Here is a 22306-nt window from a genome sequence, read left to right on the forward strand (position 1 = left end):
CAGCAGTTTTTCTCGTCCATGTAATCAGGGCAGTCTGGGAACCCATCGCAGATCACTGTGTGCTTCAAACATTGTTTATTGGATGGACATTCCCAAAGATCTCTCTCTTTACAACCTAGAGACAGAAGAAAAGGTTATTTGCAATAGACGTGGAATTGAAAATAATGATAAATTCAATCAATGTAGAAAAATTACGCTATAAAGGCATGATGTTGGCAGGGCGCAGTGGCTCATGCCTGTAATCCCAGCACTTTGGGAGGCTGAGGTGGGCGGATCACAAGGAATCACTTGAACCCGGGAGGCGGAGGTTGCAGTGAGCCAAGATCACACCACTGCACTATAGTCTGGGCAACAGAGCGAGACTTTGTCTCAAAAAAAAAAAAAAGGCATAATGTCTTTTTTCTTAAAAAGTTTTGACCTCTGCATACCATGAATAATATAATTTTGAAAGTAGAAATAACCAATAATATTCATATTGTGATATAAATTGTACAGCTCTCCTAACAGAAGATCAAAGGTGACATATGGGGCCAGGCACAGTGACTCACGCCTGTAATCCCAGCACTTTGGGAGGCTGAGGTGGGCAGATCACTTGAGCTCAGGAGTTGGAGACCAGCCTGGCCAAGATGGTGAAACCCCATCTCTACTAAAAAATACAAAAAACAGCAAGGTAGTGCGTGCCTGTAATCCCAGCTACTTGGGAGGCTAAGGCAGGAGAATCATTTGAACTCAGGAGGTGGAGGTTGCAGTAAGCCGAGATTGCACAACTGCACTCCAGCCTGGGTGACAGAACAAGACTCTGCCTTTTAAAACCATATAATTAATAACTGAATCAGGATTAGAACCCTAGTCACTTTTCTCATGTATTTTCTATTCTTTTCTTTTTTGAGACCAAGTCTCACTCTGTCGCCCAGGCTGGAATGAAGTGGCACGTTCTTGGCTCACCGCAACCTCCACCTGTCTCAAAAAAAAAAAAAAAAAAAAAAGTGACATAGGGGACATGGAGAAAAAAATTTAAAAGCATACATTAACATTCATCTTTAACTGTTCCCTTTTCTTTCTGAGTGAAATTGCTGTCAATGCATAAGACTTATCTATAAAATAATGTTATGCTTTTAAGCAAATATGCCAAAGTCTAGTGATCTAAATGCATATCACCTTAAAATGTAATTTCATTCTACAAATCAGGAGGCCATCTGTTTTTTTAGCAAAAGAGGCTCCTTCTATGCCAAACAAAACTAGTTTAAGAGCCAGGTGCAAAAGCTATTACTTTATGGTAGTCAGAGATCTAAAGTTGGAAACTTCATCAATTAATAAGAGAAATGAATATAATTTGTACAACATTAATGTAATAACTTGAACTGTAATTTGCCTATGAAATAGCAAGCACTTGTGATGTATTTAATAAATGCCATTGATGATTCATGTGCAGTGCATTTCATATGCCTGCTAAAGTTTGACAAGAGTCTAATATGTTTATGTCATTCCGGTCAGATCCCTGGCCCCGGCCAGGCCGTGAAGTACATGAAGGAAGAGACTACATGGCAAAAAAAATTTGAGTACCTTCCACCCCCTTGGCTAGAACAATGGCTAGCATGTAGCAGGCCCTCAACATGTGTGTGTTTTAAGTAGAACTTCATTTCATGTAAGGAACAAAATGTCTCTGGCTCTCAGGAAAATATAATTTATTTTAAGGTCAGTGAAATGCAAAGCAGTGATCAAATAAGAAGTTTCTTAAACAATGTTATTGTTCATCTAACCTACTACAAATAAGTCGAATAAATTATGTAGATGATTGACTCAGGTTTCTTGGAATCCATTATGAGAAAAAAAATTGGTTTTCAAACTTTTCATTAAAAACAATTATAAAAATAAGTGACCCAAAATGCTTACTATAAGCTAAAATTAGATTTAGTGTGTTTCATCATCCAAAGATATAGGAAATAAATAGTGAGAGTCTTTCACTGGCTGATAATCCGGGGGGGTCTTAGGCCCAGGGACATCCATTCCAAGAACTCACAGGGACATTATTTAGAGTTTTCAGCTAGTAGAGGATCCAGACAGCATCTGAAAAGTTCTGACAATAAGAGTCTCTTGAGATTTGAGAAAGAGCCTGAAGCCTGTCCTCTGTGACCCAGCTCCCGCCAAATGGTACAGTCTGCTCATTCTACCAGAGAGCAAAAGACATCAAGAAAGAGGACTCAACACTCCATGCATGGTGCTGACCCTTCTCCAGGGCTGCTCCTCTGCTCACAAAACATACCACTTGCTAATAGAGAATGAAATAAAATAGCATGAGTTTTTCCTGACGATTCCCAAGGCCCATTCTTCTTAAGACTACAAGGAAGAACTTCGACATTTGGAATGAGATGATGAAATACCACAGAAATAGATCATCTGGGACAGAAGGCCGCCTAAAGTGCATCCTCACAAATAATAATAATAATAATGATGATAATGAGATAACATGTATTATCCACTATGTATCCACATTCTAGATATTAGCTTTAATTCTTAAAATAACACTATAATGTCAGTATTATGCTCACCATTTTATAAGTGAGGAAACTAACATTTAGAGAAATTGAATCCCTCCACATCACAGCTCTACGGAGAAAGATCTGGATGGGATCCAGGTACAAGTCATCAGTTGCAGTCCTTTGTAAGATGCGAACATGAAGTATGCGTAAGGGGTAGGAGCAGTGGAAGCACAGCTTTAGAGTCAGACAACTGGATTTGAATCCTAGTTCCAAATCTCACTAGCTGTGTGAGCTTGGGTAAGTTACTTAACTTCTCCAAACTTTGGTTTCCATACATCTTAAATACAAATAATAATGCCTGCTTCATAGGGTTGCTATAAACATTAAAGGAATACTCCATAAGCATTCACTTTTCACCTCTCCATGTCTTCTCTTTTCTCATAAAAGTTTGCATAGCATAATACCTCCTTTGTGGAGTTACAGTGAGCACAAAAGAAGTAGGATAAAAAGAGAGAGATATTAGTTACATGGGAGATAGTATTATTTTAAGAAGAAACCACTTTCTTTGTAAAGTGACATTTTGGTGCAATTATGTTTTAAATGTATATTCTAAAAGGAAAAGGATATGATTCCATCAAAAATTAAAAACAGGCATGGATGGGATGGGCTGTTTAATGCACCTGTAGGTTATGAAACCAAATAATTGTTGATGTCAGAATAATAACCTCTCCAGCACAGAGACAATAGCAACAACCAATAATTGAGGATACAGTGTTCCAAAAAAGTCACCAACTCACCCCAGTTTGCCAGGGATTTAATTGATTTGAGCACAAAGTGTCCCTTGTTCCAAAAGATCCCCATCAGTCCCAGGCAGATCTGGTTGACTGGTCACACTAAGTGTGCTAAGCATTCATCTGGGTTTTTTGCTTACTCTATCTCTCATTTTCACAAAAACTCTGTGAAACAGGCTGCCCTGACAGAGGCAGTACCCCCCCACCCCCAAATGGAATACCTTGTTTCTCTATAAAAACAGTTGTCATTACAAATAAAGTCAGCAAATCACCTCAAAGCAGATGCTTTTTGTTCTGTAAGAATCTCTTAGCTATGCAGCTATAGAGTAAGTAGGTCCACTCATCCTCTTGAGTTGAGCTGCATGAAATTTTTAAATTCTCACCCTTTGGAGTGGAGCCGCTCACAAGGAGGAAGGAGACAAGGTAATACTGCATTATTGAGCTGACAAAGGCTGGAACAGTCTGGATCCAGCCATCCTGGACCAGTGTCTGCCCCAGGAAGTGGCTGTGGATGTGACCTATAAGGAGCTGTAGCAGCCAGAGTACAGGCCTAACAGGTGTGAAGAGCCTTCTACAGCATGCAGGATCCTGGACAACAAAGCCCCTTCCCTCAAAGCATGGCTGCAAAGGGCTCTGCCTCTGCACCTGCTATAGCAGCTGGAACAGAGGACCTGCTTCCCACTGTGGTCTAGGCCTGATTATCAGGGCAGCCATACCAGCACAGGCCATCCAGCCACCATCCAGCTGGAAAGTCGCAGCAGCCTACCCAATTCCTGAGTCACTTCCCACTCTTAGCAGTGCCATTGTTATGGCATGCTCTTCACATATGGGTGGCCCAGTCTCCCGTGAAAGAGGCAGGATGAAGGAATGGATGGGACTTTAAACTGCATGGCTCTAATCCTAAAAAGAGAGAACATCCAACCCAAAACCAACACTATCTCCAGGAAAAGACACCATCCATCTACCTGAGTTTACTATGTGAGCCAGAGACCTCCCCCAGCCCATGCTTTAGCCTGACAGACCAGCCCACTCTCTTTTGCCATAAACAGCTGTCAGAAACAAGACTATGCTAGACAGGACTCCTTCCCTCAAGGGAGATGGCTGGGGCAGCCTTTGAAAGGAATCGCCTCCTGATTTTCCACCACCACAGCAGGTGAGTTCCCAGTTATTAGCTTCTGAGGATGAACAGGGCATGTTATAAGCATTCCAAGCTGTGAGAGATAATGTGGGTGTTCTCTGCATCTTACCCAGAGAAGTAAACTGACTGGCCAAACGTCACACAGCCTCTAAGGCTAAGTAAGGATGTAAATTCAAGTCTAAGTCTACGCAGGACACTCTGCCATTCCAGCCTGCCTTCCCAAGACACCACAGAAGACGATGAAACAGTTAACCAAGTATTTAAAGGGAAGGAGAAAATTTCCCCCTTAACATGGAAAATTAAACCCTACTGAGTGATGAGAAATCAATCCTGAAAATTCCTCCTGAAAGCACATTTGTGGATATGCCAAAGCTATGGACATAATGACTCTCACTCTTCTGCTAGCTACAGAGCAAAGAGTGGTCTCCTCCCCAGACAAAGAGACACAAAAGCATAGAGACTGGTAGTATTTGGAGTGTTAAGAAAGCCAGTTAAGCCCTTCTGTGAGATAACTCATAGAAATGCTATCCAAGAATCCAAAAAGAAAACATGCCTTTTGGAAACTCTTTGAAATCAAGCTGTAAAACCCGTAAATATCAGAGTCAGATCTTCTAATACAACCTAAGGGGATTCTGACTTGAAGAAATGGCTCAGGTTATATTTAAAGGTTTTATTTTATTTAAGATCAAGAGGAGACCAAAGATAGGTGAAGAACTGATTTTTGGTCATCTGAAGATAAACAGAAAGTCACTTAATGACACTCAGACATTTGCATTGCTGTCAATCTTTTCTCCATATGATGTATACCATTTTACTTAGAATAGTGATCAATTAGTAATTTTGATTCTGTGTTCATGTAATAAAGGATTTTATTTTGACAGTCGATATAAAGCACCTGTTGTAGCTATATTTTCATGTGACTGCTCCACTGGGAGTTGCTGCTTGCTTGCATCACAGCCCAGGTACCACCTGCTCTTGTAGCTGACCCAAATCGTGGAGGTAAAGCCTAGCAAGAGATAACCTCAGCCTCACACACTCAAATCTATAGAGTGATAGAACAGCTGAAACATACAATCCCTTTGTTGTTTTCCTTAGCTCTCCTTTCTTTGATGTCATTCTTGATCATTTATTTTCCCATGTCTTTCCCTCATGCTCCACTGCATGGCTATCAATGCTTGGAAAATGTTACGTTGAAAATAAACTCATTTATCAAGTTGCTAGTTTTACAGGCAGCTCCATCTATATCATGTATGCTCAATTACTTAAGCATACAGTAATTGACATCTTAAGCATCCTTAAGACAATGCAGTACTTCTGTACTGACACAGTGCAGATTCTGCTCAGCATTCCCCTGTCTCTTAGACTTCCTTCCCATATCGGATTTGCACAATTCATCCCAACACTTGCTGAAAACTTTTCTAGTACTGACATTTTCAACTCTTGTTTACATTGGCAATTACACAATCAAAGCAGCCTCAACAGCAAAAATCTACCACAAGAGCTGGAGACATTTAAGAACAGTATTACTGATTGCTAAATTCTAATGCATATATTTTAAAAGTGTATTTATAAGTTAAGTGCTTTGGTTATCATGTTTCTCCATTACAAAAGTGCCAAAGAAACAAGAAGTAATTTCTCACACAATATTTATTTCATAACTGAGTTAAATAAGTATTGTTTTGAGTGGAAACTCAATAACCTTGTTAGAAATTCTGAGGGAGCTGCAGATTCATGACAATGAATAGTTAATTGTCCAATTATTCAGTAAAGCTCAAACACTTAATAACACAACGGACAGAATAAGTCAGAAAGGCAAGAAGCTTGGGGTGAAACCCAGCTTTGCTGGAGCTGGTGCTTGCATTACCAGATGGTGTGCCTATGCACATACGAAAACAGAAAGACAAACAGCAAGGAGGCAAATGGAAACAGATGACTTCCTATTAGTCCTCTGTTGAGCCTTCATCAACCTGACTTCCTTATTTGATTTGAAGTGGTGTGTCCTCCCAAATCACTGAACAAGCCCATTCAAATGCATGCAGAAGTATCAAAGGGGAACGAAGTATGTAAAGTTTTCTATTGTTAGTCACTTTGGAAAACTTCTCATAAATTAGTACTGCTGGAGCAATTAATTGAACTCCAAATGTATTATTTCTTACCCACTTTTAACTTTCCTTAACTAGAGCTCTCAATAGTGCTGTCAATTATTTTTAATTTTTGATAGAGATTAGACAATATATTCTATTATTTTGATGTGCCTTTAATTGTGTGATTAAAATACTGGTGAAAACCAATTACTTAACTAGAAACCTGATATTTTAGGGTCGTTTAAACCCTATACCAATATGATAGTACTTTAAGTTTATTTTTTGCAGAATATGTTCTAGAACTCAGAACTTTTAGTCTTGGTAAAGTTGTTTTGTTTTGTTTTTAACTAAGCTTTTGTATTTCTCAAATATTTAGTCCCCTACAACAAATTTAGGTCTAGCCACCCCAACAAAGTATCATGCAACCTCTTTGAACCATCTAAGATAATCTATTTTAAATTGCATCTCAAATACCATGACCCATCAAAGTCATAGTTCAGTGAACAAATCTAATACATTCTCAATAAATCACTTATATAAGGTATATTCAATGAATTTTGATTTATTTCTTTACAAAACAAAAAACCACAAACAAGCAAACAACAGTAGCTTCTAAAAACACTGTACATTCCTCCATAACAAAATTACCCCAGACATTGTACCATCATTCTGACAGCTGAAGTTTTCCAGAAGATGCATTAGTCCATATTTATAGGAGCTGACAGGATTTCAGTTGATTGCTTGTGACATTTTTGTCTAGATCAGAAGGGCAATGTTTACCACCTAAAATTCACTTAATGGAGCAACGCAATATTTCATACTTCAAAGGCCAAAAGAATGAAATTATTTCAAAAGATGTACTGCCTTACGTGCTTGTCATGAAAGTGTCAATTCTTCTTAAACAGGAAAGGCTAAATAATCATAACCAAACAATTCTGTGGATAGATCTTCAATCATTTTGCTTTCCTCAAAAACACTGTTTATTAAAGACCATTGTCTGACTTCTATTCCCTAATACATTGTGGTTACAAGTACAAAGATTTGCAGGGAAATATAATGACAACTAAGTCCACTCAAATTACCATTGGCATTTATGGCTTTTCCACTGGCGATTTTGGAACTCAATGGCAGAAATGTCAAGAAGAGTTTTATCCTTTGCCGAAAGAGAAAAAATATGAGAGGACATGAAAATGAATCCCAATTAGACTGGGAATGATGGAGTCTGAACTCTGAATGTTGGAGTATGAACTCTGCCTTCATGCATCTAGATGTCTATTTAGCAACATGGGAAGCATACGCAAAGACACTATTATTCTGGCTTTAAAACTGATAACAATGGCTTTATAATTTAATAATAAAAATAATTCTTTACATTTGTGAGGTGCTTCTCCTTTTAATAAGTGTTTGCAAATATAGTAGTGCCCCTCCACCCTTATCTGAAGTTTCAGTTTCCACAGTTTCAGTTATCCCTGGTTAAGCATGGTCCAAAAATGTTGGCACAATACAATAAGATATTTTGAGACAGAGAGAGAGAAACCGCATTCTCATTACTTTTCTTTCAGTACATTGTTATAATTGATCCATTTTATTATTGTTGTTAATCTCTCATTGTGCCTAATTTATAAATTAAACTCTATCATAGGTACATATGTGTAGGAAAAAGCATAGTACTGCATATATGGGGTTCCATACAATCTATGGTTTCAGGTATCCACTGGGGGTCCTGGAACATATCCCTACGGATAAGGGGGAGGGGTACTGTATGTATCAGGGTTATATAGAAGTGCAATTTAGAGGAAATCAAGAGTCAGGAAAAACACTTAAAATATATGCCATACTGTTCAATAATTTAAGAAGTAAAGACATTAGCATTGAATCCTAGTCCTACTATCAGTGAATAGTTTCCATTTTTAACACAGTTTCTTATTTTATTCTAGTTATCACTGTACATTCAAGAAAAGTACCATTGCACATACATACCACAGTTTTCCTCATCACTGTCATCGTCACAGTCGGCCTGGCCATCACATCTTCTGGAAGCCAGAACACACTGTCCTGAGCGGCACTTGAAATGACTAGGTGAGCATTCTATTAAAAACAATATTACTGTTAAAGGGCTGAAAACCCAGAAACATCAGCTAATTTATGTATTTACATGTAGGATGTTGTCAAGGAGCTTTTACTGAAGATAAGGGTGGTCTCTTGCAAAACGAAATAGCCATTTTGCTTTGGCATTCTTCTGCCTGCCAATCAGCATCTTTCTCCTTCATTCTTGGCCTCATCCCTCTAGATACGCGGTTTAACATCTATGTATTCCAATGATTAATTTTCTTTCCAAATGGGACAACCCAACAATTGCCAGAGCCTGATATGCCTTGTGCAGTCAGTGCTCCTGACTACCTAGCGGCTCTCAATGTGTCAAAATCATTTTCACATCCCCATCTTTCCACCTAGTCCACAATTCCATTTCTGTACTTAATGATCCTATGTTGCCATGGTCCCCAAATGTTTTTTACTTGAAGGAACCAAGGTTTGATGTTCACCTTTGCCTTCAGGATCACTAGTATAAAAGCATCCATACATAATGGGCTCTGTGAGTAAAGTACAGTTTAAAAAACACCTGGAGTACTAATTAAACTCATCTCTGAGTTCATTATTTTTAATTTTAAAATGATTTTTTGGGGGGAAGATGGAGCAAGATGGCCAAATAGAAGCCTCCACTAATTGTCCTTTCTGCAGGAACACCAACCTGAACAGCATCCACACAAAAAAGCACCTTCATAAGAACTAAAAATCATATAAGCAATCATAGTACCTGGTTTTAAATTCAGATCACTGAAAAAGGCACTGACAAGGGTAGGAAAGACAGTCTTGAATCACCAACACCACCCCTCCCCCATTCCCCAGCAAGAGCTGCATAGCACAGAGAATCTGTGCACTTGTGGAGTGATTGTGGGACTTTGCATTGGAACTCAGTGCTGTCCTATCACAGCAGAAAGCAACACCAGGCAGAGCTCAGCCAGTGCCCATGCATGGAGGGAGCATTTAGATGAACCCCAGCCAAAGGGGAATCACCCATCCCAGTGGTCAGAATTTAAGTTCTGGCAAGCCTTACCACCACAGGCTAAAGTGTTTTGGGGTCCTTAATAAACTTGAAAGGCAGTCTAGCTCACAAGGACTGCAATTCTTGGGCAAGTCCTGATGCTGTGCTGGGCTTGGAGACAGTGGACTTGGGGGCATGCAACCTAGTGCATGCCGCAGAGTGGCCAAGAGAGTGCTTGTGCCACCCCTTCCCCAACCCCAGGCAGGCACAGCTCACAGCTCAGAAAGAGACTCCTTTCTTCTGCTTGAGGACAGGAGAGGGGAGAGTAAAGAGGATTTTGTCTTGCAACTTGGATATCAGCTTAGCCACAGTAGAATAGGGCACCAGACAGAGTCCTGTCCTAAGGCCCCCATTCCAGGCCCTAGCTTCCAGACATTTCTAGACATATCTTCAACCAAAAGGGAACCCACTGCCTTGAAGAAAAGGGCCCAGCCCTGGCAGCATTAGTTACCAGCTGACTAAAGAGCCCTTGGGCCCTGAATAATCAGTAGCAGTACTCAGGCAGTACTTCTCATGAGCCTTCGGTGAGACTCTGAGATGGGCTGGCTTCAGGTGTAACTCAGCACATTCCCAGCTGTGATGGCTACAGGGAGAAACTCCTGCTTGAGAACAGGAGAGGGAAGAGTAAAAGGGATTTTGTCTTGCAGCTTAGGTACCAGGCTTGGCCACAGCGGGGTAGAACATCAAGTGAATTCTTGGGGTCTCTAATTCTAAGCCCTGGCTCTTGGATGACATTTCTGGATGTGCCCTGAGTCAGAGGGGAGCCCCCTGTCCTGAAGTGAGAGTCCCAGGCCTGGCAGCATTCACCACAGACTGACTGAAGAACCCTTGGGCCTTGAGTGAACACTTGTGGTTTGGTAGTACTTGTCATAGACCTGGGGTGGTAGTGATCATGAGGAAAAACCACTAGCACTCTTCCATTACCTCTCTGTGGAAAGAGGAAGAGTGAGAAGAACTTTGACTTGTGGCTTGGGCGCCAATACTGCAGAAATTCAAAGGATCATCAGAGTCTACTATGAGCAACTATATACCAATAAATTGGAAAGCCTATGAGAGATGAATATATTCTTAGAAATATACAACCTACTAAGATTGAACCATAAAGAAATCCAAAATCTGAACAGAACAATAACAAGTAATGCTATTTAAGTAATACTTAAAAGTCTTTCAGCAGAAAAAAAAAAAAAAAAGCCTGGTGCCCAGTGGTTTCACTGCTGAACTTTGCCAAATATTTAAAGAAGAACTAGTACCAATTCTGCTCAAACTACTCCAAACAATAGAGGAGGAAGGAATACATCCAAATTCATTCTACAAAGCCAGTATTACCCTGAAACCAAAGCTAGACAAAGACACATCAAAAAAAAGAAAACTACACACCAATTTCCTTGATGAACATTGACATAAAAGTCCTCAAGAAAATACCAGCAAACTGAATTCAACAACACATTAAAAGGTCATTCATCATGACCATTTAGGATTTTTTTTTTTTTTTTTTTTGAGATGGAGTTTCTCCCTTGTCGCCCAGGCTGGAGTGCAATGGCATGATCTTGGCTCACTGCAGCCTCCACTTCCCAGGTTCGAGTGATTCTCATGCCTCAGCCTTCCAAGTAGCTGGGATTACAGGCGCCTGCCACCATGCCCAGCTAATTTTTATATTTTTAGTAGAGACAGGTTTTCACCATGTTGGCAAGGCTGGTCTTGAACTCCCAACCTCAGGTGATCCACCCACCTCAGCCTCCCAAAGTCCTGGCAAGACAGGCATGAGCCACCGCTCCCGGTGACCATTTAGGATTTACAGGAGTGATGTAACATATGCAAATCAATCAATGTGATACATCATAACAACAGAATGAAGGACAAAAATCATATGATCATTTCAGTTGATGCATTTGATAAAATTCAACATCCCTTCCTGAAAAAAAATCCCTCAAAAAACTGGGTAAGAAGGAACATAGCTCAGCAAAATAAAAGCCATATTTCACAGACCCACAGTTAGTATCAAACTAAATGGGGAAAAACTGAAAGCCTTATCTCCAAGATCTGGAACATGACAAGGATACCCACTCTCACCACTGTTATTCAACATAGTGATAGAAGTCCTAGCTGAAGCAGTCATAAAAGAGAAAGAAATAAAGGCCATCCAAATTGGAAATGAAGAAGTCAAATTATTCTTGATTGCAAATGATATGATCTTATGTTTGGAAAAACTTAAAAACTCCGCCAAAAAGCTACAGAACTGATAAACAAATTCAGTAAAGTTGCAAGATACAAAATCAACATACAAAAATTAGTAGCATTTCTATATGCCAACAACAAAAAATGTGAAAGAGAAACCAAGAAAGTAACCTCATTTACAAAAGCCACAAATAAAATAAAATACCTGGAAATTAACTTAATCAAAGAAATGAAAGGTCTCTGTGATGAAAACCATAAAACACTGATGAAACAAATTAAAGAGGATATAAAGAATGGAAAGATAATCCATGTTCATGGATTGGAAGAATCAATATTGTTAAACTTTCCATATTATGTGTATTAGGCCATTCTTGCACTGCTATAAAGAAATACCTGATACCAGCCAGGCGTGGTGGCTCATGCCTGTAATCCCAGCACTTTGGGAGGCCAAGGTGGGTGGATCATGAGGTCAGGAGATCAAGACCATCCTGGCTAACACAGTAAAACCCCATCTCTACTAAAAATACAAAAAAAATTAGCCAGGCATGATGGCGAGCACCTATAGTCCCAGCTACTCGGGAGGCTGAGGCAGGAGAATGGCGAGAACCCATGAGGTGGAGCTTGCAGTGAGCGGAGATCACGCCACTGCACTCCAGCCTGGGCGACAGAGCGAAACTCCGTCTCCAAAAAAAAAAAAAAAAAAGAAAAAGAAATACCTGATAGTGCATAATTTATAAAGAGGTTTATTTGGCTCATGGTTCTGCAGGCTTTAAAGGAGGCCTAGAGTCTGCTTGGTTTCTAGGGAGGCCTCACGAAGCTTACAATCATGGCAGAAGGTGAAGGGGGAGCAGGCACGTCACATGGCAAAAGCAGGAACAAGAGAGAGAGAGAGTTGGAAGGAGGCACCATGACCAGATCTCCTGTGAACTCAGAGTGAGAGATGGTTCAAGCCATTTATGAAGGATCTGCCCCCATAATCCAAACACCTCCCACCAGACCCCACCTCCAACACTAGGATTACATCTCAACATGAGATTTGGGTGGGGAAAAATATCCAAACTACCTCATTCTGCTCTGCCCCTTCCCAAATCTCATGTCTTTCTCACATTTCAAAATACAATATCTCTTCTCAGTTGCTCCCCCAAAGTCTTCACTAATTCCAGCATTAACTCAAAAGTCCCAAGTCCCAAATTCAAAGCCTTATCCCAAATCCAAATAAGTTCCTTCTACCTATGAGCCTGTAAAATCAAAAGAAGGTATTTACTTCCAAGATACAATGGCTGTACAGGCATTGGGTAAACATTCTTATTTCAAAAGGGAGAAATTGGCTAAAAGAAAGAGGCTACAGGCCCCATGCAAGCCCAAAACCCAGCAGGGCAGTCATTAAATCTTAAAGCTCCAAAATAATCTCCTTGGACTCCATATCCTGCATACAGGGCACACTGGTACAGGGGTGGGCTCCTAAGGCCTTGGGCAGCTCTGCCCCTGTGGCTTTCCAGGGTTCAGTCCCCATGGCTACTTTCACAGGTTGTTGAGTGCCAACAGCTTTTCCAGGCAAAGGGTGCAAGCTGCCAGTGGATCTACCATTCTGGAGTCTGGAGGGCAGAAGCCTACTTCCCACAGCTCCATGAAACAGTGACCCATTGGGGACTCTGTGTGGGGGCTCCAGCCCCACGTTTCCCCTCTGCACTGCTCTGACAGATGTTCTCTGAGCCATGGCTAAAGGTAGAGCAGCCTGGATGCAGGGAGCAGTGTCCTAAGGCTGCAAAGGGCAGTGGGGACCTGGGCCTGGCCCATAAAACCATTCAGTCCTCCTAGGCCTTAGGGTCTGTGATGGGAGGGGCTGCCTGGGAGATCTCTGAAATGCCTTCAAGGCATTTTTCCCATTGTCTTAGCTCTTTGCTCCCTTTTGGTTATACAAATTTCTCCAGCAATTCAGCCTGCTTGAATTCCTCTACTGAAAAAGCTTTTTGTTTCTTTACCACATAGGTAGGCTGCAAATTTTCCACACTTTTATGCTCTGCTTCCCTTTTAACTATAAGTTCCAACTTCAAGTTATTTCTTTGCTCCTGTATCTGAGCACAGGCTGTTAGACGCAGCCAGGCTATCTCTTGAACACTTTGTTGCTTAGAAATTTCTTTCATCAGATACCCTAAATTTTCACTCTGAAGTTCCAACTTCAACAGATCCTTAGGGCATAAACAGAATGCAGCCAAACTCTTTTCTAACACAAGATATGGGTGAACCTTTCCCCCGGTTCCCAATTAGTTCCACATTTCCATCTGAGATCTCATCAGCCTGGCCTTCACTATCCATATCACTATCGGAATTTTGGGTCACAATCACTTAACCAATTTTTAAGAAGTTCCAAACTTTCCCTCATCTTCCTGTCTTCTTCTGAGCTCTCCAAACTCTTCCAACCCCTGCCTGTTACCCGGTTCCAAAGTTGCTTCCACATTTTCAGGTATCTTTATAGCAATGCTGAACATCTAGTACCAATTTTCTGTGTCAGGCTGTTCTTGTGTTGCTATAAAGAAATATCTGAGACTGGGTAATTTATAAAGAAAAGAGGTTTAATTGACTCATGGTTCTGCAGCCTTTACAGGAACCATGGTGAAGACATCTGCTCAGCTTCTATGAAGGCCCCAAGAAGCTTACAGTCACAGTGAAAAGCAAAAGGGAAGTAGGCACATCACATGGTAAAGGAGCAAGAGAGAGAGTAGGGGAAGAGATGCTACAGCACTTTTAAATGACCAGATGTCATGTGAACGCAGAGCAAGAGCTCACTTGTCATCAAGGAGATGACCCAAACCAATCACAAGGGATCTGCCCCCATGATCCAAACACCTCCCATCAGGCCCCAACTCCAACACTGGGGATTACATCTCAACATGAGATCTGAGCAGGGACAAATATCCAAACTATATCACTATGTAAAGCAATCTATAGATTAAATATAATCCCAATGACATTCTTCACAGAAATGGGAAAAAAGTCCTAAAATTCATATGGAATCACAAAAGACTCAGAACAGCCAAAGCTATCCCGAGCAAAAAGAACTAGAGGAATCACATTACCTGACTTCAAATTACACTACAGAGCTATAATAGCAAAAACAGAATGGTACCAGCATAAAAACAGACACATAGGCTAAGGGAACAGAAAACTGAGAAAAGAACTCATACATCTACAGTGAACTCATTTTCAGCAAAGGTTTCAAGAACACACACTGGGGAAAGGACAGTCTCTTCAGTGAATGGTGCTGAGAAAACTGGATATTCATATGCAGAAGAATGAAATTAGACCCCTATCTCTCACCACATACAAAAATCAAATCAAAATGAATAAAGACTTAAACCTATGACTTCAAACTATGAAACTACTAGAAGAAAACATTGGGGAAACTTTCCAGTACACTGGACTGCACAAAGATTTCTTATGTAATATCACAGGAACACAGACAACCAAAGCAAAAATGGACAAATGCGATTACATAAAGTTAAAAAGCTTCTGCAAAGCAAAGGAAAGTGAAGAGACAACTCACAGAATGGGAGAAAATATTTGCAAAATATCCATATGATAAGGGATTAATAACCAGAATATATAAAATGCTCAAACAACTCTATACAAAAATAACTAATAATCTGATTTAAAAATGGACAAAAGAGCTGAATAAACATATCTCAAAAGAAGACATACGAATGACAAACAGGTATATGAAAAGGTGCTCAACATCACTGACTATCAGATAAATGCAAATCAAAACTACAATGAGGTATCATCTCACCCAAATTAAAATGTCTTATATCCAAAAGACAGACAATAACAAATGCTAGCAAGGATGTGGAGAAAAGGGGATCCTCACCCACTATTGGTGAGAATGCAAATTGGTACAACCACTAGGGAGAACAATTTAGAGGCTTCTCAAAAAACTAAAAGTAGACCTAATACATGACCCAGCAATCCCACTGCTAGGTATATACCTAAAAGAAAGGAAACCAGTATATAGAAGAGATATCTGCACTCCCATGCTTGTTGCAGCACTATTCACAATAGCCAAGATTTGGAAGCAACCTAAGTGTCCATCAAAAGATGAATGGTTAAAGAAAATGTGGTACATATATGCAATGGATTATTATTCAGCCTTAAAAAAGAATGAGATCCTGTCGTTTGCAACAACAAGGATAAAAGAAGACGTCATTATGTTACCTGAAATAAGCCAGGCACAGAAATACAAACTTCTTATGTTCTCACTTATTTGTGGGAGCTGAAAATTAACACAATTGAAGTCATGGTGATAGAAAGTAGACCAATGGTTGCCAGTGTCTGCGAAGGGTAGTGGTGGGGGAAAGCAGGGTTGGTTAATTGGTACAGAAATATAGTTAGATAGAATGAATAAGATCTAGTATTTGATAGCACAACAGAGTGACTACAGTCAACAATAATTTATTGTACATTTAAAGATAACTAAAGGAGTATAACTGGATTGTTTGTAACATAAAGAAAGGATAAATGCTTGGGGTGATGGATATCTCATCTACTTGATGTGATTATTATGCACTGTATGCCTGTATCAAAATATTTTAGGTACCCCATACATATATACACCTATGTACCCACAAAAATAAAAGAATAGAAATAGAAAATGACTTCTTTATTTTTAAAATGAATGCAATATCTAACAGATGAGTGCCAAATTCTTCAATGCAATCAAGTTCACAAATTCACTCACCTAAGCAGCCTGATTGGAAACTAAATAGAAAACAAACAAACAAGAAGCCATAAATAGAAGAAATTCAAAAGGTAGCTAACATGTTCATCCATGTTAGATACCCTGCTGTAATTAATTTTAAAATTAACCTTCCACATATTCATCAGGCATCAGGCAGGTTTGATTGTCTGAATTTTCCTCTGGAAATTGACTGCAATCTGTGTCTTCAGGCCACTGTAGGCCCACAATCCCAAGAACAGACTCACAGCGTTCTTTAGAGTGTTCACACAATGCCCTAGATGAACAAGAAAGACAAAACATTAGAAGCAGAAATAGCTCCATCTGAGACAGATGTCATAAATTTATGTCAAGTTTTAATTCTGTGTATGTGGCATGTATTGTGGGTGTGTGGATATAAAAGATGCACATATATATGATAGGTATTTGGGAAACCAAAATGAGTAATATCTCTGCAAAGAGTATACATTCCAGCACCACACTTTCACCAAAAGAAACTTTATTGCAGAAATAGGTCTAAAGATGTTTCCAGGACACAGATTCCCTTCTCTACACTGCCTTTCTCATTCTGTCTTCTGTCTTTGAAGGAGACATATTCTCCAACCTTTTGTTCCAAACAGGGAAGTCTCCAACATCACTTTGGATAGTTTGCCACCAAAGTCATTGAATCTATACAACACCCTCATCCTCAGAGATCTCCCCCTCTGCAGACCAGCCTTGTGAGCCATCTCATGTGCCACCTTAGCTTGCCTAAGGCATGCCTCCCTTACTTCAGCTTCCATCAATATTGGTGAAAAGCTTAGGACTCCTTCCAAACCCACTTACGTTGAGCTCGAGTTGGTTAAAATGTTTGGTTTTTGTTTTAAAGAAATGATATATTATTGTATCAGGTGCTTTCGTGCGTATTATGTCTTTTGTCTCCAGAATATTTTTAAGTTAAAGTATCAGCGTGCCTCACAGAAGATTTCTTTACTTCTTTTTTTACTTCTTATGGAAAAAAATATGATTTTTGTCTCAATATATTACTAAGAAATTAGTTACACAGTTAAAAAAAAAACTAACCAAAGTAAGTTCCTAGGCCAATATACTCTTAATGGACTCAAATAAACTCTTACTTATCAAAAGTTTCAAATTTTATACACTAATTCAACTAAGTTCTCATTTTTAAGATAAAATGGGAGACAGATCTTCCAGAAAGGCCAGCTCCAGTCTTGCCCAAAACTGGTAGAGAAAGTGTAACAATCAAATGAGGAAATTTCGGAGAAAGTTCTGTCTAGGTTTAAGTCTGGACAAAGCTCAGCATAACTCAACACTGGCTTAGCCCAGGAATTTGTGGTAAAGATAAAGCCATGGTATTTCTATATTAGGTCAGGAAAGATGGAAAGTTCAATAGTTGATAACTGTCTGTTGAACTAACTAGTTTTGTTGCAGATTTATAAAAAATGTATATAACTCAATTGCAACTGCTATTTTAAATTAGTCATATGATACTTATTTGTACAAAAGACTATATAGTGCCTGACTCTACCACTTCCAATTTTTTTCTGTAAAATGGAAATTACAACAATATGCAGCACCACAAGTCCAGGGGGCGCTGTTCTTATCATAGTCCTTGTAGTGTTCAGCCATAGGTAGCACCTCTGATGATACACACTTCAAAAGGTTATTTTGAGTACGCTACAGCATAACAATCCTCAAGTATTTAGCCCATTGTAAGGACTCGATGTTAGATTTTTCAGTCTCATAGCTAAAAAATTCAATGTTAAAATTAATAAACACACCTAGCAAAAGCAACTATGTATTGCTTTATGAACTTATTAGCATATTATTCAAAAATTTCTTATAAACAAATATCAAAATATAAAATTCGTAGTGATAGACACTGAAAATGAAAGATGTATGGGTAAACCTGAAAAAAAGAAATAAATTTATCTAAAAGAAATTTACCAAAATTTTGATTGAACAACACTTCAGGATCATCCTTGGTCTTATGCATTTTAATATGGAACTTAAGCCCTGAAATTATAAATTACATCTGGATATAAATTCACATTTATATTTATAGCAGAAAATGCTGCTTCAGGGAAATTTTTATCTACATATGAAAAGAAAGTCAAATGCCAGAAATTGTTAAGTACTATTAAAAGAAATTATTCACTATCACTGACCTTGCTTTGCAAAAGTGAAGTAAGATTTAAAACAGCTTTTTAACATAAAATTGGTAGATGTTTTATTAGAGATACTTTTAAAAGTACTTAGCAGAAATTTTCAGATATTTTTCTACACAAGCTAACATTTAGTTTTATTCTCTCTATTGGTATAATTTGTTCAGTTCCCCAAGTCATTTTGAAATTTTATTATTTCCTGTCCTGTCTCTATAGATGCCCTTACTTTGTTATCCATTTGGTATTCAGCATATAATTTATTGTTTTCTCTTCTGTCCACTATAGTAATAGTACTGCTTTTTAAAAAAAACTCTGCGTGACTTCTGATCCCAACATATGGTTTCTGCAGTTGCTACTCGCATTTAGGCCAGCACATTTGTATACCTACCCCTTGAGGGAAAACAGCACTGAAGAGAGTAGCAACTCACTTCTGAGAGTCATCCTGTATATGCAAACCCTCTGACTACAATGCCTAACACATGGCGCAGCAAAGGGACAGACTGCCAAGAAGCTATTGTGTTCCTGTGCTATCATCATAGCTATTGTCCATTCAGGGTTCATTACAATGAATCAGAAGCACTTTACATTCATTTGATCTCAAAACAATACAACCCAACAACCATTACTATCCTTATTCTACATGTAAAGGAACCGAGGCTGAGAGAGACTCAGGATTTTGTCTAAGGGCTACCTAGAAACTAGAGAAGGGTCAAGATTTTAACCCAAACATGGACTCTGGAACAATACTCTTGACACTAGAATATCACTCATATTCAAAGTCCAAGCTACGCTCTTGAAATAGCGCATCTTATTTCATTCAAACAGGCAGAGAAATGTCAGCAATGTCCATCGCTGTCCAATCTGTGAGTCTGGCACTATGTATTCTTATGTCATATCTCTAACAAGTGCTGTCAGAGTGCAGCATTGTAAACACATCAGTGTTGCCAGAAAAAGAGGCAGATATATCCCTTTTATACTATCATACTTTTTTAAAAAAATGGCTTTTTAATACAACAGAATGAAATACCTGTGAATTTATTTGATTAAAACACATAAACTATCATCAAAGGACGTTCACAGCTCCCTTGTTTGGTACTTCGTTAATGAATTCTGACTCAAATATTCATTTTACAACTTCTACTTCTTTGTCTCACTTGTTAAATATAAAGTATTTGATAAATGCAGAGCTCCTTAGGGAAATTTACGTTGTCCAAACTCAACTAAGTCTTCACCCCTTGGTTCTCTCTGAGGCAAAATAAGGGACTGGGGTAGATCCCATCATATTACCTGCAAGGAGGGATATGCTCGCCTGTATTCACATCACATTTTGGTACCAAAATGGTGCAAGAAAAGAACATGAGGTATTTATAACAGTTGGTTTGAACAAGTGCAGGGAAAAGAGAAGACTCCCAGCTGATGGATGCTTCCTTTTGAGTCCTGTGGCCAAAATAATTTGGATAACTTGTACTGTTGTAGGGCAAATTCATGCAGAGTTCCAATGTAATTGGTTCACATTGACCTAACAAAGAAACATACACACAAATATTTTTAAATTTCACATATAAAAACAACTTCTTTAAGTTTTACAAACTTGAAGTCTATTTTATTCTTTCTTTAGAGTAGCTAAGACTAGAATGCCAGTAGTATATAACATTTTTTATGGATATTGAAAATAAGTAAGTTGATTAGTGAAGTGCCCTGGCAACTAAGATTCATTTCTGTATATGTAGTTGCTAGCACTGTGACAACATCTTGCTTTAGAAAGTCCTTCCTCATTTTTTCCCTTGGCTCAACTTATCTAAAGATGACTCTCTTTCATCATTCCTTTTATTGACTCCAATTCATCTTCTTCTTCTGATTTACTTATTACTACTAAAATAGGATAGCCCCATCATCTTCACTGTCACTAAACTAATTAATGAATTTGATCAAATAGGCAAGTAGATAACTTCTGTCTATATGTTTTATTGTTGATTAATGTGTTTAAATATAAGGCTACAAGATTTCAGGGCAAGAGGAGGCTCAGATCTGTTGAATACTTCTCACTAATAAGACAAAATCCAAACCCCTTAGCTTGAAGTCTGAGGCTATTTTATACTTCAACCCTAGGCTAACTTTTCAGCTTCATTGCCTGTGATTATCCAATCAACAGTATCTCTGCTGTAATAAATTCTATTCCCTTATGACACCAGATATTTTAAGAATTGTATGACTTTATGCACCCTGTTTGCTCCTCTCTTACCTCCTCTTTTATAACATGCTCATAATTATCTCCCCAAAGGTGGTCATGGTTCTAGCTGCCAGGGCCATACGGCACCTGCTGCCTGGATTAACCCTTTCCCATCTTCCCCAACAAGCTAACTCCTCTGTGGTCTGGAAGACTCAGCACAAATACCTCTTCCAGGAAACCTTCCTGGCCAACCACTCTTCCCATTACTACTTCCAGAATGAGTCTTTTGTGAGTGCAATAGCGTCTTAGGCACATACCCACCATATGTTCATTGCATTCTGCCATATTCTTTATTTACTTACTTGCCTCCCCTACACAATCCTGAGATTTTTGTGAAATGAGACTTTATCTCTTGATCTTGAAGTCTACACCTAGCACAGTGCCAGAATGAAGGGAGGAAAATGTATCAGGGACTATCCTAGGCAATGTAAATGTAAGAGTAATGAGAAATATTGTCTCTGCCACTGAGGAACTCCACAATCTCGATAGGAAAAAGGATGCACGCGCTGGTAGCTGTAGTAGAATGTGAACAGGGTAGGATAGAGTTTGCATGAACTGAACATTTGTGTATCTCCATTCATACGCTGAAACTCTAACCTGCAATGTGATAGTATTTGGAGGTGGGGCCTTTGGGAGGTGATGAGGTTTCAATGAGGTCTAGATGAGGGTGGCATTTATATGGGATTAAAGTCCTTATAAGAAGGAGAAGAGACTAAAGCTCTCGCTCTCTCAGCCATGTGAGGAAACGCAAGAGGGCAACTGTCTGCAAACCAGGAAGCAGCCTGTTACCAGAGACCAAGTCTGCCAGCATCCTGATCCTGCACTTCCAGCCTTCAGAACTGTGAGAAATAAATGTTTGTCATTTAAGCCACCCAATCCATGGCATTTTATTGTAGCAGCTTGAACATACTAAGACAGACATATTGAACAAAATGCTAGAGTCCAAAGGGAAAAGGTAGTGCAAGAGTGAACTGGGAAGCCCTCTGATATGGTCTGGCTGTGTCCCACCCAAATCTCATCTTGAATTGTAGCTCCCATAATCCCCACTTGTTGTGGGAGGGAGCCAGTGGGAGATCACTGATAATGGGGCAGTTTTCCCCATACTGTTCTCATGGTAGTGAATAAGTCTCACAAAATCTGATGATTTTATAAGGGGTTTCACCTTTCACTTGGCTCTCATTCTTCTCTTGTCTGCCACCATGTGAGACGTGCCTTTTACCTTCCACCATGATTGTGAGGCCTCCCCAGTCATGTGGAACTGTAAGTCCATTAAACCTCTTTCTTTTGTAAATTGCCCAGTCTCAGGTATGTCTTTATCAGCAGCGTGAAAACAGACTAACACTCCTTCCAATGATAAATGTGGTTTGGGCAGCTTTGGGGGAATACAGCAGAGAGGCTCCCAGCTCCCTCT

The 22306-nt window shown here is 39.3% G+C and overlaps 1 protein-coding gene and 1 non-coding gene across 4 annotated transcripts in view, besides 1 other annotated feature; one reads left to right on the forward strand and one right to left on the reverse strand.

The window, feature by feature from the left end:
• The window catches only part of CORIN (corin, serine peptidase), a 244067-nt gene that overhangs the window by 51079 nt on the left and 170682 nt on the right, over nt 1–22306 (reverse strand). For all 3 annotated transcript variants that reach the window (NM_001278585.2, NM_006587.4, NM_001278586.2), the window contains 4 exons: nt 19953–20184; nt 16632–16777; nt 8474–8581; nt 2–115 (listed from right to left, as the gene is read on the reverse strand). In NM_001278585.2, coding sequence (NP_001265514.1) covers nt 2–115; nt 8474–8581; nt 16632–16777; nt 19953–20184 — 600 coding nt within the window. The remainder of the gene's footprint in view (nt 1; nt 116–8473; nt 8582–16631; nt 16778–19952; nt 20185–22306) is intronic.
• Nucleotides 6106–6649: an enhancer, noted in NCBI's record as "NANOG hESC enhancer chr4:47653202-47653745 (GRCh37/hg19 assembly coordinates)". NCBI's record gives its function as "activates a minimal SCP1, AML or CMV promoter by ChIP-STARR-seq in naive H9 embryonic stem cells {active_cell/tissue: H9 hESC(naive)}" and the evidence as "EXISTENCE:reporter gene assay evidence [ECO:0000049][PMID:30033119]".
• On the forward strand, nt 7590–7664 carry MIR8053 (microRNA 8053). Its single transcript, NR_107020.1, has one exon. It is a non-coding gene; the product is annotated as a microRNA 8053 (primary transcript).

Source organism: Homo sapiens, chromosome 4 (assembly GCF_000001405.40).
Source record: "Homo sapiens chromosome 4, GRCh38.p14 Primary Assembly".
Taxonomy (NCBI): Eukaryota; Metazoa; Chordata; class Mammalia; order Primates; family Hominidae; genus Homo; species Homo sapiens.